The 17,398-nt window shown below is 52.2% G+C and overlaps 1 protein-coding gene across 51 annotated transcripts in view, besides 1 other annotated feature; it reads left to right on the plus strand.

Annotated features, from left to right (window-relative positions):
• Window positions 1-17,398, plus strand: part of NFASC (neurofascin) — a 194,171-nt gene that overhangs the window by 154,423 nt on the left and 22,350 nt on the right. For 17 of the 51 annotated variants that reach the window (XM_011509316.2, NM_001378329.1, XM_011509318.2 and 14 more), the window contains 6 exons: window positions 953-1,068; window positions 2,836-3,040; window positions 4,344-4,466; window positions 5,559-5,732; window positions 8,218-8,232; window positions 14,096-14,332. In XM_011509316.2, the coding sequence (XP_011507618.2) occupies window positions 953-1,068; window positions 2,836-3,040; window positions 4,344-4,466; window positions 5,559-5,732; window positions 8,218-8,232; window positions 14,096-14,332 (870 nt within the window). Of the gene's footprint in view, window positions 1-952; window positions 1,252-2,835; window positions 3,041-4,343; window positions 4,467-5,558; window positions 5,733-8,217; window positions 8,233-14,095; window positions 14,333-17,398 lie in introns of those variants that run through there. The other 34 variants (XM_047449982.1, XM_047450000.1, XM_047449996.1 and 31 more) reach the window with 8 other exon arrangements.
• Window positions 6,561-6,650: an enhancer, noted in NCBI's record as "active region_2373". NCBI's record gives its function as "activates an Ori minimal core promoter by ATAC-STARR-seq in GM12878 lymphoblastoid cells {active_cell/tissue: GM12878}" and the evidence as "EXISTENCE:reporter gene assay evidence [ECO:0000049][PMID:35858748]".

Below are 17,398 nucleotides of genomic sequence, written 5' to 3' on the forward strand. Positions count from 1 at the left end.
TGGATGGTAAGTGCAGAAAGGGTGGCATCTGGTCATGGATTTTATGGACCAGCCCACAGTTTCCATTGCACGCTTCTACCCTGCGGCCCACGCTCTGATGGATTAGAAGGGACGAGGCAGAGCTGCTTTTGCGGCAGAGTGGAGAAAACAGGGACAAGAATCAGTTATGGGGGAGGGAGGGGCCTTCCCTTTCCAGGTAGTCGCAGGGTCAGAATCACTTCCTGAACTAGATTAGGGCATCTTCAACCTGTGGGTAATGTTTCCTGCCAGGAAACAGATGCATTCTCAAAAGGAACTATTTATAACGTGTGGAGAGAGTTGGAGGGAAAACGGCAAGATACGTGATCCACCTTAAAGGCTGGCAGCAGCAGGAAGCCATTATGCCACTCTGAGCCTCCATGGACGGGGATAGATGAGTCCACAGCAAGCAAGGACCGCCCTTAGGAGCCATGGCCTTAGGTAGAAGAGTACAAGGCTGTCAACCTGTAGCCCAGCAAAGAGGAACCCAGGGGAATTGATACCCACCCTTCCTCTTCTCCTGCCCTGGGGCCTCCTGTTGGCACCTGCTATTGGTTAAACCCATCTGGAAGCCTGAGAACAAGGGAACCCCGCTGATAAGGTCCAGCGAGGGCAGCCCCCCAGGAGACGGAGCAGGGTGAGGAAGGGTGGAGGACAAAACGAAGGGGCTGATGGAAACTACCCAGCACAGGAGGGGGCAAATGAGTGCCCTCTGAACATGTAGGCAGAGTCTCTTCCACCTAGACTGCCACCCTTTTGTCCTGAGCCTTCCCCACCACTTTTTCAAGTACTGTCTCATGGAGGAGATATGGCCCCTGCCCTCATGGAATGCCCAGTGTTGAGTGGAGTGCAGGTACAGGCCAGCAGAGAACAAGTCAGAAGCAACTGTAGAGTCCTGCCTGCATAACCAGCTCTCTGTCCCAACACATTGCAGATCCCAGGGCTGCGCCCACTGAAGTTAAAGTCCGAGTCATGAACAGCACAGCCATCAGCCTTCAGTGGAACCGCGTCTACTCCGACACGGTCCAGGGCCAGCTCAGAGAGTACCGAGTGAGGAAGCCAGCTCCGGACTCACCTAACTACCCAGCTCACTAACCAGGGCCAGGGGTAGCAAATGCGGGCTATAAGATATTTGAAAGAAACCCTAGCGTTGTTTATTGAATCCAGGGTTGACTCAAGAAGATAATGTCTAGGGTTAGATGTTCAAAAATATACCCAGAAAAAAAAATTATATATATATGTGTGTGTGTGTGTATATATATATATGTGTGTGTGTGTATATATATACGCATATATATATATATATATATATATATATACACCCAGATGTGTCCAACAGATATGCTGAGAGATTCTGCTCAGCAGAAAATCACGTGAAAGGTGGTGGGTTTGGGTTGGTGTTGCATAGCACGTTGCGTTTGGAATACATGCGTGAGTGGGCACACATGTATCTTCAGAGCAGTGTTGAGGCACCGCTGAGCTACTCCCCTCCCCTCTCCCAATGGCCCCTACTGGGCTCCTTATCTCCTAAGCCACAACTAACAGGCAAAGCCACTGAAAGCATGCAAATGCCCTCCCTGTTGTCGCAGCCAACTCCAGATAACCCAGTATATGGACTATCAAGGCTCTTGGCTTCTCTTGGTCCTCCCTGCCTGAGAGCAGTTTCTGCTCTATCATCCATCCTCTTCAAAAGGGTGAGCTCAGATGGGAAGAAGAGAGAGAGCACCCAGGGTATACACGGCGCTCCCTTCTGAGTAGCGCTAATTAAAAGTTGGCTGGAAAGTGAGGGAGGCAGTAACTGTGATTAATGCACGTTCTGTGGCCTCAGAGGTCATCAGGAGTTGGCTGATGGACAGTTGGAGGCAGAGCAAGAGAGGCTAGTCTCTTCCCAGGAAATGAATTTGGCCAGTAGGGGAAAGAAGGCAACGTGATGTGTACACTTGAATGAGCTCTTCCCCACAGATGACTTGCACCCTTAACCTACTTGCTTAGAGATTTTTCTGGCTAAAGCTTCCCCATGGGTCCCCCTCTAAGTCTGGACCCCTTCCTACCTTGCCACAGGCAGCCTGGGAGACACTGGCGTGGCCAACTGACCTGTGGCTTCTTACCCACTGCTAATTAGAGACTTCTTGTTGCCCAAACTCATTCCACTGCCCCCTCCAACACCACCATCTTCCATAGCTGTCCCTTCCCATCCAAGCTCTGCTACCATGCAGCCTGGCATCCCACTGACTTGGACATGTGACTGTCTCATCCCTAAAGATCTTCCAACAATATGAAAAGAAGTCATTTTACTTCAAAGGATTAAATCAACCCTTTCTCATATTCAGACTTCCGGGGGTAACTTGCTACCTTTCAACTGCTGCCTGCCGTCAATCTAAACCATACTAATCCAATTCAAGGTGATGTGGTCTTTGAGCACAGAGTGGAGCTTTCCATGCCTGGACCCTTGGCTCACTATTTTTGGTTCTGGCACGGACTCCCTGAGCAACCTGGTACCCACCTTGGAAATCAGTCTCATGATGGAGCAGCTCAGATGTAAGTTTGGCCAACTTGCTCATTCCCCAAAGACGTGGCATGGATCAGAAAATAATTGGAACCAAAACCCTTATTTCTTGTTTAATATAAATTCATGTTCAGGAGTGGCTAATGAGCGGGGATTAAAAGGCTGCTTCCTCAGCCTGGATAGGACTGATGAGGTCATTTGGGACTTGGAGGCTGTAGCAAGCAAAGGAAAGACCGGTCACTACCACCACCACTAACAACTAACCCAGCCCTGCCTGCCTGACCCCTCACCAGCCTGCCTCTGTCCCGAAGGCCTACTACTGGAGGGAGAGCAGCTTGCTGAAGAACCTGTGGGTGTCTCAGAAGAGACAGCAAGCCAGCTTCCCTGGTGACCGCCTCCGTGGCGTGGTGTCCCGCCTCTTCCCCTACAGTAACTACAAGCTGGAGATGGTTGTGGTCAATGGGAGAGGTGATGGGCCTCGCAGTGAGACCAAGGAGTTCACCACCCCGGAAGGAGGTAGGTCTGGCCTGCAGCTCTTCAGGGTGGGGCAGGAGAAGGGTGGCACACACCTTGGGCCTGGAGAAACTCCAGCGTGGCTCAGCATGGATGGCACAAGGTGACTTCTGCGAGGCCTCCAGGAGCGGATGACCTGCAAGCCGAGCCACTACAGCCATTCCCAGACCACCATCGCCAAGGTGACCTGCCCTGCGAGGAGGTTGTATCTCAAGAGAAGACCTGTGAGGTCTGCTGACATAATTCCAGACGGGTTATGCAGACTGATCCCCGAGGGCACGGCGGGCACCTGGGCCACCCCACCACCTTCCGAGGCAGAAGGCAGCACGTCCATCCTGACTGCCTGGAACCATCTGATTTGTTTGCCAGCACCCAACACCTTCACGGTTCTCCCCCCACGTTCTCAAGAAGCCGTCACTGAAATAGTCGGCCTGTGTGTGCGGTGGCTCTGCAGAGGGATACCCAAGTATAGCCCCGCCTTCTGCAGGCCTATGGTTTCACATGGCCCTGGGGTCAAAACCCCTATTTTTTGTTTCACATAAATTCAAGTTCATGAATTAACAGATGACTGCAAAGTTCCTGGTTCATCTCCTTGTTCTTGCCAGTCTTCTTTTATCTGCTTTGCATCTGTTTCATCCTCCTCCGTTTCTCCTCCCTCCCTCTTTAATTGTTATTTTCCCCATTTTTCCTCTTCTCTTCCTCCTGTCCTCTGTTCTTCCCTCTTGTTCTCTTTATCCCTGTCTTTCCCTCCCCTTGGTTTGGTTTTCATCATTGGCCTCTCCCCAACACTCCCACCCTCCCACCTCTTCCGGATGTTCCACCCTGGCTTTCTGTCTCCTTACCCCTGAACCCAACATTCTCAGCTCAGAAGCCTGGGCCTGCTGCCTGGACCCAGTGATGAGAATCCTTATCTGAGGATAGGGAACTGCAGCCTCTGTACAAAACAGCTGTAAGTGGTTCTCTACCTAGGAATGGCTCTGCCCAATTTCGAGGTATCTTTGCAGAATCAGAGCCTAACATGTGCTGAATCCAGAGTAGTTGCTAGAAGAAAACCTGATTTACTTCTTCCTCTCTTAAATAGCAGAGTCTGAGCTATGTTTGTCCTCAGACCTGAAGGAAATAGCATCCTGGATGGGGCAATGGGCTCCGGTCGTCTCACGGTTCTCCCAGGCTTCAGTTTAGCAGTGTCGAGCATGGGGGTTGTCCAGAGGTCAATGCCTTCATACTTGTGCTTTGTTTTTTGTGTTTTCCTCATCCTCCCTGCCCCCTCCCCCTCATCTCCCCTGCTCTCTCCTCCTTCCCCAAGTACCCAGTGCCCCTAGGCGTTTCCGAGTCCGGCAGCCCAACCTGGAGACAATCAACCTGGAATGGGATCATCCTGAGCATCCAAATGGGATCATGATTGGATACACTCTCAAATATGTGGCCTGTACGTTCTGCCCTTCCCTTTCTCTTAGATAATCTGGGAACCAGAAACCCCATTCTCACCACTTTTCCTAAGGACTCAAGGTAGAAAGCCTGTGGGTGCAGATGGCATTGTGGAGGGATGGAGGGGCCAACGAAACAGTTCCCAATAGGATTAGGGGAGGCAGATGGGACTCAATCCCTGCTCTCCTTTCATAGTTCTGCCTGCAGGGAGCTTCTAGTCTCACTGATGAGACAAAGGGACCTCCAGTCTAATGAAGCAGACAGCCATGCCTTTAGGGATCTTTTGTAGTCTCCAACACGTACAGAGTCTAGGAGAGAGAGTTCCTCAAGCTCTGGAGCTTCCACCTGATGGGGTAGATAGTATACTCACAGGAGTCCACAGTCAGGACACCCCTTGACAAGATGTCATTTATGATAAGGCAGCTGCATGTAGAGCTGCCCGGTGACTGTGGGGTGACCCGAATCAGGAGCCTGGGTTGGAAAGACCCCACCTCAAGAGCTCAGCATCACCATGCAGGGACAGGAGTGCCATTACATTTGAAACACTTTAGGCCTTCAAAAGTAGGTAACGTACCTCGTTAGGAAACTCAAAGAGCCAAATGTTGTGTTGTTAGCAATTTTAATAGCCAACTCTGTGCTTGTATGCTGTTCTGAATTGATCTCTGGACCAGACCCTTTCACCCTTTGAGGTCCATTGAATAGGCACTTTACAAAGGAGGCATTAAGAATCAAAAGGCCTAGTGGCGTTGTCCTAGTTCTGTTTGAAAGGAAGAAAGAAAGTGAAGAGTTTTGTCCTTGTTGAAAGGGCTTAAGAATATAAACGGAATCTTTCTGAATCAGCCACATAACTCTGCAGTGAGCTAGAGACAACAGGATCAGTGAAGAAGGATTAACCCTGGGTGTAATCAAAGAGCCCGGAGGGAGTTCTTGCCGAGTGTTCTGCCTTTGAACCAAGCCTTTAAGATCACCAGGCAGGTGCCATCATTTCCCTTTCCAGCAAAGTCAGGAAAGTGTTCTTCCTCCAGCTTGCAGATTATATAACCCATCAATAAATGTTGCTAAAGTTTAATTCCACTTACCTCTCTCTCCCCAGTTAACGGGACCAAAGTAGGAAAGCAGATAGTGGAAAACTTCTCTCCCAATCAGACCAAGTTCACGGTGCAAAGAACGGACCCCGTGTCACGCTACCGCTTTACCCTCAGCGCCAGGACGCAGGTGGGCTCTGGGGAAGCCGTCACAGAGGAGTCACCAGCACCCCCGAATGAAGGTAGGTGCATGGCAGCAGCCCCTGGGGTAAAAGGTCCCAGCTAATTCCGAGGCCTAGAGAAACACTGAGATCTGTAGCTGGCTGCCTGGGATGGAGAGGAAATGAGACTTGCAAGTCCTCAAGCCCTCGGAAGGTGAGAACCCATCTTATGTGTGAGAGGTAGGTGCTGGCATTGTATCTGGAGCTCAGCTCTCCTTGGACCACTGTGGTCACACCTGGGTCCCCACTTGCCCTGACTTGCTCAGTCACTTGACATCTATCATCTTTCCTTCTTGTAGAGGAATAAGGAAGAGAGCATGAGTTGAGAAATGAGAGAAATCATAATGAACTCCAAAGAACAGTGAGTGTTCACCTCTTGAGGGAGGCAGGAATATGATTGTGAGTGCTCCCATGAGGGCTCTGGGGACAACCTTCTTTCTTCGAAGGCACATGGGTTCAAGGAGGTAGGGGAAACCGTCAGGATGACGCTGTTACTGGCATCATGAGTAGAGCAGAGAATGTGGTCCTTCCTTGCAGCCTGAATTGGATGCGTTGTCAGGCTGCAGAGAGGAGGAGGAGTTAGGAAACAGCCATTTGCCAAGCCAGCTTCACAAAGAGCAAATGAGTTCATCACCTGGGTCCAGGCGTCATCTGGCAGCATTTCAGCCCCACCAGAGCTGCACCTGCCTGAGGACTCCACTAGAGGGGGCTCCAGGCTCACCCGCACACGCACTGGCATCAGGGGAATGTGCAGTCTGGGACCTCTCGAGGAGGCAAGGCTGCAAAAGCCTCAATACTGGCACACCCTCTGGGAAAGGCTGGGGACCCCCGTGTGTCTCCAGAGATACAATGGTCTATTCAACAGCCATTTCTTGAGTACCCACAATGTGAGGTGCCAGACACTGCCACACACAAGGGATATACAAAGGTAACAAGAAGCTCACACCATCTAGAGGGGGAGTCATCTATAAGAATATCTAATTGCATGTCTAAATGAGGGGGCGCAGTGGCTGGGCAGAGAAGGGGATTCAGTCTTCACGGGAAGACTCCAGAGAAGAGGTGATGTGAGTGGGCACTCTGGAAGCTGACAAGTCATCGTGTCTGGTGCTTTCCACAGAAGGGTCAGGTCCCGTGGCCTGGCCCAGGCCCAGACGGGGTCTTCTGAATACCACCCCTACCCGCATTCCAGGAGAGCATCAGTGCTGCCTTCTCTGGGGCTACCAGGCCCGCTGCGTCACCCCGGGATCCCAGGCAGCTTCACAAGCTGCCCACATCCTTCCCCAGCCCACCACTCTAGCCAGTAGACCAGCGCTGAGGCAGGAGAAGAGGGGCCAGGCAGAAGCAGAGAAAGGCTGACAGCCCGCTCTGCATCCCTCTCTGGTCTCAGAAACCAGGAGTGAGTCACACAACCAGCTCTCCCTCCTGCTGTGCTCTTCTGCACTCTCCCAAGCCCCTGGGCACTCGGGAAGTTTATTAGGGCAGGGGGACTTAGGTTAGTGGCTGATGTGTGTCTGTCACCAAAGGCCAGGCCAGGCCAGGCCATGATGCACTTTCTTGATTACTCAATTCTGCAAATAGATAGATAAAGAGAGCCCCTTCTTCCCTCCCTATGTGCACCCCAATACAGAACATCAGATAACAAAGCCCTATTGTCCAGCCCCAGTAACCACCACAGAGAATGTTCTGCAGCCCCAGGGGACAAAAGGACAAATAGAGGCTTTTTTCTTAACTTAGGGCTTTGCAGAAAATTCAAGAATTTCACTTAGGGCTCTCAGTCCAAAAAAAAAAAAAAAAGAAAAAGAAAGAAAAAAGAAAGGGCTCTCAGTCCAAACTTGGGTTTCTAACTTCATAAAGTCCAACTGGAGGGGAAGAATTGGAGTGACGGAATACCAGGAGAGGGGCTCCAGGCTCCATCCTTCAAAGTTCCCGCCTTCCAAGGTTGCGATGGTGTGGAGTGGGTGCAGCTGAACATGCTCCCTCTCTCCTATCCATCCCACTATTCAGCATCTTCCCCCAAAGACAGGAACCATCCTTTTGACTGGAGTTGGTGTCCTCCCACACCACCTACTCCTTATCCCCTCAATTCCTGGCATCATGGAGCGTCACCCAGCCTGCTCAAAGGTCATGCCAACCTAGCCAGAGCAGGACATGCTGTTGAGGACAGAGCTGGGAACATAATGCTCTGAGTGGACTGTCCCTGCAGCCACCTTTTAGATGTCCAGTCCTTGAATCGAGGTAGAAACAGTGTGTTAGAAAGGTCTCCAAGGCCCAGGTGGAAAGGTTTCTGTAGGAACATGCCTGACTCAGGTGGAGTTGACCGTGAACCCTGAATGCCAGTTGGCATCCTCAGGCCAGCAGCCAGCACCTGGCCACGCCGTCTGCATAAGGTTTGGGCTGGAACCTTCCCTGCTTTCCTTGTCCTGTGGTCTCACTTGTGCTCTGTTTTCTCTTCCCTTTTCCATCCTTTCTCCCTCTGTCTGGCCATCTTGGGCGCTGTGTTCTGAAGCTACTCCAACCGCAGGTACCGTACCAGCCGCGGAGGTAATGGGCATGGCATGGGGCAGCGCAGGCGGAGCCCAGCCCAGCCAGGGCGGACAAGGAGGGAGAGGCTCAGGCTGAAAGCATGCTCCAGACTCACCCTTTCAGTGGTTGGGAAGCCAGACTGTCAAGAGGGATGTGTGTGGAGGATGGGACCAGAGGAGAGCAAGCCCACTTTCCCCCCTTCCCAAACTATTTGCCCCCTGCTGAGTAGGAGAATGGCTCAGCAGGGGTCACACACACACCGGCCCTGACCTGCTCTCTGGAGCTGCAGTTTCATTCTGACACTGAGTAGATTACTTCCCGTTAACCACCTGAGTCCTTGCCTGGGCTTGACAGCTCAGAGCAGTGTCCCCAGCTGTGGCCCTAGAAGGCGCGCTGCAGCAGGAGCAGGGACAGCTGGCTCCTGGTGGGGCTGCCATCTCCTGAAAGGGTGAACATGCTGTGCATGCCAGCTTCGCATGCTGCATGGGGGCCCGGCACCGGCTCTGCCAGCCACCACGGGCTCTGCTCAGTGAGAACAAGCAAGCATGTCCATGGATAGGGCCAGGTGCTCCAGTTCCTGGAGTCTCAGCAGGCACCGTGGGCTGATTATCTCCTCACCCTTCAGAAACCCAGCTTTTCCAAGTCTTTATCGTTAAGAACAGTCTCCACTCTCGGGGTATGGGAGGTAGATCTACAGTGGACTAAGGTGCTGGGCAGCTCTGGGCTTAGGACCTGCTAATCAAGTTACTCCTCTCCAGTCCTCATGTCATGGGTTTGAGGGTCATCAAAGGGCTCTTCATCACAGTTGGCCTGTCCCCAGGCTGGAGAAACGAGGCAGGGGACCCCAGGGTTCCTTTCCAGGCCCTCCTCTGAGCCTGAATTACATCAGATGGGAAATGAGAACAGGATTCACCCTGGCAGAGCAAAGGCTACAAGCAAGTGCTCAGCAGAGCCTCCTTACATGCCAGGCAGTGGAGGGAGGGCTGAGGACCGGGCCAGGAATCTGAGGGTTGGCTTATGAAGGGGATGCCACCTTGCCCAATTCGATTTCCTCCTCGCCTTTGCTTATTCATCCCCACCCCCATCCTAGGTTGATTCTATTTCTGTTGCATACCCTGCTTCCTTCAGTTTGTGTATGTTTTGCGGCCAGATCTGTGGATGGTGAGCTGCCATCATCCTTCCCTCTCTCCCTCAGTCCTCAACATTCACCCACCACCCCAGTGCCTCCCCACAAGGTCTGAACACCCCTGTGAAGATGTGAGGCAGAGAGGTGATCCCAGGCCTGGGGAACAGGGTGAGAGCCATCCTTGCCACACTGGGGGCCTCCCTGACTTCCTGCTTGAAGTTTACGTAAGTCTCTCCCGTGACGAAGAGGAAACGCAGGGAGGGCACCAGGCGAATCAGCTGCAAGCTCAATGGGGAAGCAGCTCCCCGTCCACCTCCCCTGTTCTGGCACCCTGGGACCCAAGGCAGGTGGGCCTGGTGGCAGGCAGTCTGTCTTGTTCAGTGGGCATCTGTGCCGGCCTGTGCTGTCCCTCTACTGAGTGGGTGAGAGGTATCTTTGCAATCACCCCACTTCCTACTTCCCATTTAGAAAAGATCTACACTCATCCAGCATGAGCTCACGGTCTCAATCAAATGTTTCCTGGGCTCCAGCTTCCGTGTGACATGGCAGTGGAGGCAGATTGCACTTTTTTGGAAATGAGATGTGCTGATAACATCAGCTGTTCTCAGCTTTAAATGCGTAAGAACCTTCTGCACAATGAGCAGGTGCCAAGCAACGAAACTCGGGTTCCATGTTTCTGACGTGGGCCTGGCGTCCGGCCCACTGCTGTCTTCCCTCTCGTCCTCTCCAAACCTGGGCACTATTTCCCCAAACTGCCCTGTTCATCTCTCACCCAGTGAAGATAATCCCTCTCATCCACCTGTATCTGTAGTCTCTTAGGATTGCTGCCCGTCTGTCTGACAATCTGTGATTTGGCCGGGGTAGTCAACACGCCATGTGGACATTTTTGGACTAAACCTTCCACCTTGGAATGTAAGGAAGTGCTGTTCTCTTCTTTGACCCAGCTCAGGTCTGCAAATGTTTGGTGGGCTCTTGATAGGTGCCCTGTTCCGTGGCAGGTTCTGGGACAGAAAGATGAATGACACATGTCATCTCTCCTCAGTGTTCTCCATCTCATGCATGGTGCTCCCTGAAACCCACCTGGAAAACCCTTGGCCGCAGCCAGGGTGCCTTCCAGTGTGCATTAGGTCACAAACCTGTGAGGTTGACGCTGCCATCTAGGAAGGGCCTTGTGCTTCCAGCCGAAGCCCACTCAGGATCCCCCCTTAGCTAACAGAGAGTCTCTGCCCGCTGTCCTTGGTCGCCAGGCTGATGGTCTCCACTGAGCACTGGCCAGGATTGCTTCCAAACCTGTAGCTCCTATTGCGGCAGGAAATGACATCCTAGCCCAGTCATGTGTCTGCCCAGCCTGGTGCTGCTCTGTTGGTAAGCCCTACTTCTCAGCTTCGTTGCTCTTCTATCCTCTCCTCCACCTCAGCCCCAGGGGATGAAATAATCTGAATCTCCTTAGACCTGAGCAGTGGAAGGTTTTCCCCATGGAACACTTGTCCTCCTCTCGTTCCCACCTGTACTAGCCCCCTGACAGCTCACTGCCTGACTCTTCTGCACCTTCCCTCGGAGGCTTTTCTTCTTTCCTCCACCCTCCCTAGCTCTCTGGAGGCCCTGTCTTGCCTTGGGACAATAGACACAGCTAATGAGTGGGTCGGAGATGTGCCAGCAGTGACCTTAGCCAGCTGAGGTTGTATCCTCTATGGTAACTTCAATGGTGGGAGCCCCGGGGAGGCTGCCGGAAAGTGACCCCTTTCCTCTCTCTCATCTCTTGCTCCCTCTTACTAAGCCTGAGCCAGACAGGAAGCAGCTAGGTAGCCATCATCAGAGAAAAATGCTTCCTTTCTGCCACACTTGGCAGAAGTGGCCATCAGGGGAGGGGACAATGCAGTGTAGAAACATCTTCAGAGCCATCTCTCATCCTTACCTCTGCCCAGCAGGGCCGGTGAGGAAAATGCTGTCACCTGGGCTCTCTTGACACCTCTGTCCCCCAGCTACTCACTGGAACATCCTGGGAAGTGTGTGCCCCCAGCTATGGCCCTGTTGGGGTATGAGTGTGTGTGTGTCTCTGCGAGTCTGAGGGCCACATGAGAGAGTGTAAAGCTTTGGGGAAGACTGACTTGGATTCTGGGGCCTGGGAAATGTAGCACCACTGCACCTGTAGGAAGGGAGGCCCAGGCTCCTGCACTACGCGGTGTGATGATTCAGGTTAAAAGGGAGTGTTTGCTTTTTTGTTTTGTTTTGTTTACTTGAGGCAGAGTCTCGCTCTGTCGCCCAGGCTAGAGTGCAGTGGCTTGATCTCGGCTCACTGCAACCTCCTCCAAAGGGAGTGTTTTCTAATGATGCCTTTTAGATAGTCATGAGAAGGGCTACCTTGTAAGCATTTGATTTGTCAGAAATTATTAGAAAATATACTATTGATAAGGAACTCCGGCAGGTGCACACTTTGGGAGGCTGAGGCTAGAGAATTGCTTGAGCCTGGGAGTTCAAGACCAGCCTGGGTTCCATGACAAAACCCCATCTCTACAAGAAATACACAAATTAGCCAAGCATGGTGGACCTGTAGCTGGACCTATAGTCCCAGCTACTCAGGAGGCTGAGGTGGGAGGATTGCTTGAGCCTGGGAGGTCGAGGCTACAGTAAGCCATGATCACACCACTACACTCCAGCCTGGGTGACAGAGCAAGATCCCGTCTCAATTAAAATAAAAAAAATCAGAGCAGTCCTGCCCAAGTAGACAAAATAATTGCTCCAGGTCTGTGCCAGCAGCACAGAGCAGCGGAAAGAGCCCATGTGTGTCTATGGCCATGAGAGCTGCAGGGAGCAGGCCTGGGAGAGAACTGACCTTTGCCCCATGGGTCTCTCAGGCTTTCCCATGTATGATGTGTGCACAGTGTGTGTGTGTGTGTGTGTGTGTGTGTGTGTGTGTGTATGTGTGTCGGTGGGTGGGGATAAGTGAATTCCCTCTTGTTGAGTGTTTTTAGTGCTGAGATTATATTCCAGGCCTGAGGCCATCCTGGACTGAGCACAGCCCTAAATAAAGAATCTGAGAGGGAGAGTTGCCCCACCGCTCACCCCTCCGCACGCCGCCCTGATGTCTGTGGGTTGACCGGGGTTTGGGGAGTATAGCATTGTGAGCTTTGAGCCTGCCCAGGAACCTCTGGAACGTATGGGGCATAGTCAGCTGCCCAGTGTGACTTCGGTGGCCAGCACCCTCGGGGCACAGTAGTACCTCTGATCTTATTAGCAGGGAAGCAGGAGTATTCCCTCCTTCTCCAAAGAGGGACTTGTAATTTTGGAGACCCAAGGGAATGAAAGGGCTTTTGCTGGGCAGGCTCTGGCTGAGAAGGCTTAGGATCACTTCACTCTCCCTTAAAAAAAGCTCTCTGGCAATTCTTTCTCTGGCATCCCTCCCTGCCCTAGCCCCTTTCTCGGGGATATTATTTTCCTGAGAGATTTGAGGCTGGGTAGGATTCCTTGGGAGTGAGAGTTAGCTGCCTGTGTTTTAAAGTCCCTGCCTACTGCCCCATTAGCGTCAACACTAGAAAGTGGAGTGCTGTCAGATCACAGGAGATCCAGTGCAAGGAGGAGAGGGGGCTTTGTCTCTCTCTGCTTGGCCTCATTCTCATACTCTCAGCTTTAGCAAATATTAGATCTGCGGGTAAGGATAGGGCAGCCCTTTCCATGACCTTCTATATCAGGAAAGAAGACCTGTGAAAAAGTTGTCACATACATAAGCTTAGCCCTCCCAAGCTGACCAACATCCAAGGATAGCTTTGGGTGGGAGATGGGTGTCATGAGAGGGTTAGCCCAGATCTGAACAATTCTGTGCCCCATGAAGATTTATGCAGAAAAGAAGCCCAGCATGCGCCTCACTCTGCCTGGGACTCCTCTGTCTGCTGTGGGCTGGGAAGGTGGTGCTGCTGAGTGCGGGTTATTCCATTAGCTCCCTCTTCCCATGTTCTCATGTGAATAGAAAGCACCTGGGGTACCTGGACCCAAAGTTCCTAGAGAGAAAGGCAGTTATAAGAAGTGTCACTTTGGATTAGGGTGGTTGCAGGAAGGGCTACCACTGAGCAGAGAAGGGAAAGAGAGGGAGGAGAGGCAGGGGAATGACCGAGGAGAGCCAAGACCGGAGGAGGGCGAGGGCAGGCAGAACGCCGTGCAAGGCTCACCCGCGCAGAGTGGAGATTGTTCCCTCTCTGTCATCGGGTTTGGGTGGCTGTTTGGGCTCATGCAGGCATGACAAAGGGTGATTTTGGAGTGATTGGTTGGGAATGGCAGGCCACTCTAGGCCTCTGCTGGACAGGGCCCCACCGCCTGCCCACCTCTAGGCTGGGGCTCCAGGGCTGGACCCAACTGGTGCTGCTTGGGCCTGTGTCTGGGTGGCATCTGGCCAGTGTTTGGCCTGGGGCTCCATGCCATCCCTGGGGTCTGAGCGATTCAGCCCGTGCCCCCTTCCCGTCTCATCCTCACGCATCCTTGGCTGGGTGCATGCTGGGTGTTTCGAGCCACGCAGACCATGAGAAGAAAATGAAACACACACAGGGCTTCATTCTCTTCCTCTCCCATGGTTGTGTCTTCTGTTGCTGCGACCCGTCTGACCCAGTCCGTTATGCTTGGGGAGGCTCCTGATGACTAAGCCCCGTCTCCTCACCGGGCTGCCTGCCTTGCACGCGGGGGCCGTGTGTCCAGGCTGGGCACAGCCAAACCAACCAGACTCGGCTGTTTTACATTTCCCTCTCAGCTCCTCCCACATTGCCCCCGACTACCGTGGGTGCGACGGGCGCTGTGAGCAGTACCGATGCTACTGCCATTGCTGCCACCACCGAAGCCACAACAGTCCCCATCATCCCAACTGTCGCACCTACCACCATCGCCACCACCACCACCGTCGCCACAACTACTACAACCACTGCTGCCGCCACCACCACCACGGAGAGTCCTCCCACCACCACCTCCGGGACTAAGATACACGAATCCGGTACTGCGCATCGCCCATGCTCCCCATCCCCTCCTGGCCCGCCTCCCCAGCGGCCTCCAGACGAACCCACAGGCTCCCCCAGCGAGGAGGTGGGGTCTGGGGTGGTGTTTGCCACCACCTCCCTTTGTGTTTCCTTTGGAAACTCACCCGTGACTGGATGCTCAGTCCCGTAGCCTGGAGGCCCAGATCTCCCCAGCCTGGCCCTGACACACACACACTCCTTGGGTGGTCCTCCACCACTCAGTACCCCAAATTCTAGCTTCAGATCCCTGTTCCTTAACAGACGGCCAAGCTCCTTGGGCAGGGCCCCCAGGTTCCAGATGTTAGGACCGCCTCCAGCTACATGTCAGGCAGTCAGCTCAGAGCCGAGCACTCCAGAAGGAAGACAGCGTGAGGAGGGGAAAAGGACCAGATACTGTACAGCTGGCCTGAGGGAGTTTCCTGCCCTGGCCACGTCTGCGTCCGGCCTAGAGGCTGAGCAGCAGGGAGTGGCTGTGCCAGGCAGCTCTGTTCCCAGAACCCCTGTCCCTTCCTTGCCTCTCCTTCCGCGAGGAACACTTACAGACTTTTCTTTTACAAAGTCAGAGCTTCCAGGAAACTGTATTGCCAAGGAGGCCCTTAATGCCAAACTCACATTCCCCAAGCCCTCAAATGCAGGCATGGAGGGAAAATTACGGGCATTCTCAGAGCCCCTGGTAAGAATCGATCCCAGGGCTGGTACGCTGAGCCACGAGAATGCACTGTTCCTGTATCATGCAGCCAGGCCAGGAAGCTCTGTTCTTCCAGTTCGGGGAGACCCCAGGGGAATTCAGCGATACTTCCAAGCACTGAGCATCAGTCTTTTATTACCAACAAGGGGAAGGTCTGTAGCTTCCTGAGCTCACAGGCCAGCTATAAAATCAGCGTGAGGCAGCCAGGAAGCACCCAGAACTCTTCTGCCACAGTTGTAGAATTGTAGGACCCAGTGGGCACCACCTTTGTCTCCTGGGCAAGTCCCTTTACCTTCCAAGGCCTCCTTTCTCCCACCCTGCTCCACTTTTCTCAGCCTCCTGAATGAGGATGGAGGCTTAATAGACATGAGAGGATTTTGTTTTCAGTTCAATGACATAGAGTTAAGTGAGCTGTCAGGGAAGACGAGAGGCATAGCTGCTGTGAGCTCCTGAGACCCTGAAAATGCTGGTTTGCTTCACAGGTGCCATCTAGAACTTAACAGGCACTTTCGGAAAAAGTTGGCTGAGGAGGAACCTGCTGGGGTATTAGAAGCTGCCACCAGCGGGTTGGTGATTGATGTTCTTTGGGGCCACGGTGAGGCATCTTTTTCATTAAAAAGTGGGGCTTTGTGTCCTACAAGTGCTTTGAGTTCAGAGAAAAGATGAACCAAAAATGAAGAAAGGAAGTGGCTCTTGCTTCCCCAGCAAAGAGTTACTTGCCTTCTGAAACACAGGCCTTGTTGCCACATAGGACCAGCCCCTCCAGAGTCTCACTCCTCAAGTTCTGTGAGACGCTGCAGAGGACCTGGCCATGGCCTTGATCTTATCTAGACCTTGGGAACACCCCTCAACCATCCTCACCTCACTTCAGCAGAATGGCTGTCTAGGACTTTAAAAATGAATGTTCACCTTTATCGTGCCTTACATCTTGGAAAAAGATGTTTCATAAGTTTACTCTTCTCAGGGTGAAATAGGCCTTTTTATTTGTCCTTCGCCTGTCTTTTTCAGATTTCCAGGGAGATTCCTTAATTCTTACATTCCAGGAGTCAGTGAGACAATCTATGCTTCCCCTCCCTGACCCTTTTTGTGTTTCTCGGTGTTGATATTTCACATGCTTGGTCCTTCTCTTTGAACTTTTTAGTGCTTCCGGGTCATCATCCTGATCTCTCTGTGGCAATGCCTTCCTCCAGCTCCCACCTCTAAATCATCTTGGCTTCCCACTGCCTGGCCTTTTCTAAAAGAACCCCAATCTTCATTGCCTTTAAAACAGCCAGATTTGAGTCAATTTCATATTGGTGGCCAGACTGTTTAAACACAAATTCTCTAGCTATTTACAGGGCTCAGAGCTGAGGAGGAAGAAACTCAAGTCCCCAAATAATGACTAATCACAATTCATTCTCACCAGCAAGAGCCATGAAATTCTAAGGAGCTGGAATTTGGGATGGCTTCAAGTGGCCAGTACAATTGAAGCGTCTGGCAGACAGGCAAAGAAGCCTACCTTCTCCCCTCCCCACGGTGCCATCAATGGAATCACTTTCTTGGTCCCTCACTTAATATGAATCATATTCACCTGGGGCAACCAACGCCTGACAGAGTTGTAGTGCAGAAGGCACCTCTTTGAAGTGAAAACCAGGAGATCTTTTATCACTTCCCCAGCCCTGCAGGCTCAGTCACATGTCAAATAGATAATGAATAAATGCATCGCCAATGCACTCTATTCATTTATTTTTGACAAGTGAGTTGGTGACAGTGCCCCCTTGCATGCTAATAAAATATACAGCAGCCACACTTGTAAAGTCTTTGAAATACGAGGCTTCATGCAAGTACTCCACTATTAAATCTTTGCTGGAAAATGGGGTAACCAGACTGCTGGGACTCTTGCAAAATGATTACGTTTGAAGATTAGTGCCATTCTCCTCTACACAGGCTATGGTTTCAGACAGCACCATGGCTTTGATAAAGTGGCTCCCAGCTCATAGGAACTTGATAATTAATGTCCTCTGTGTTGCATAGAGATCAGGCATCAAAAACTCGGTGGTGCTGAGACGCCAACAGAACAGGATTCTTCTGGTGTCTGGACCACTGAGGGCTGGTTGTCAAGGAGTTATCTTCTCTTGGTCGCACCTAGTCCACGTGAGGGAGAGGAAGGCTTCACATTGTCTTTACTTGGGCCCCTGAGATTCTAGGCTTTAGACAATCTGAAGCTGTTAGACCTATCAGCCAGGCTTCTCTCTGACCAAGGACAACCCAAGGGGCTCCTTAGACCAGCCTCACCTGTCTGGATCACCATTCTCCTCCAGCTTCAAAAGTCCATCCTTCCTGCAAATCTCATCAAGACTCGCGGCTCTTAAAGATA

This window comes from Homo sapiens, chromosome 1 (genome assembly GCF_000001405.40).
Source record: "Homo sapiens chromosome 1, GRCh38.p14 Primary Assembly".
Lineage (NCBI taxonomy): Eukaryota > Metazoa > Chordata > Mammalia > Primates > Hominidae > Homo > Homo sapiens.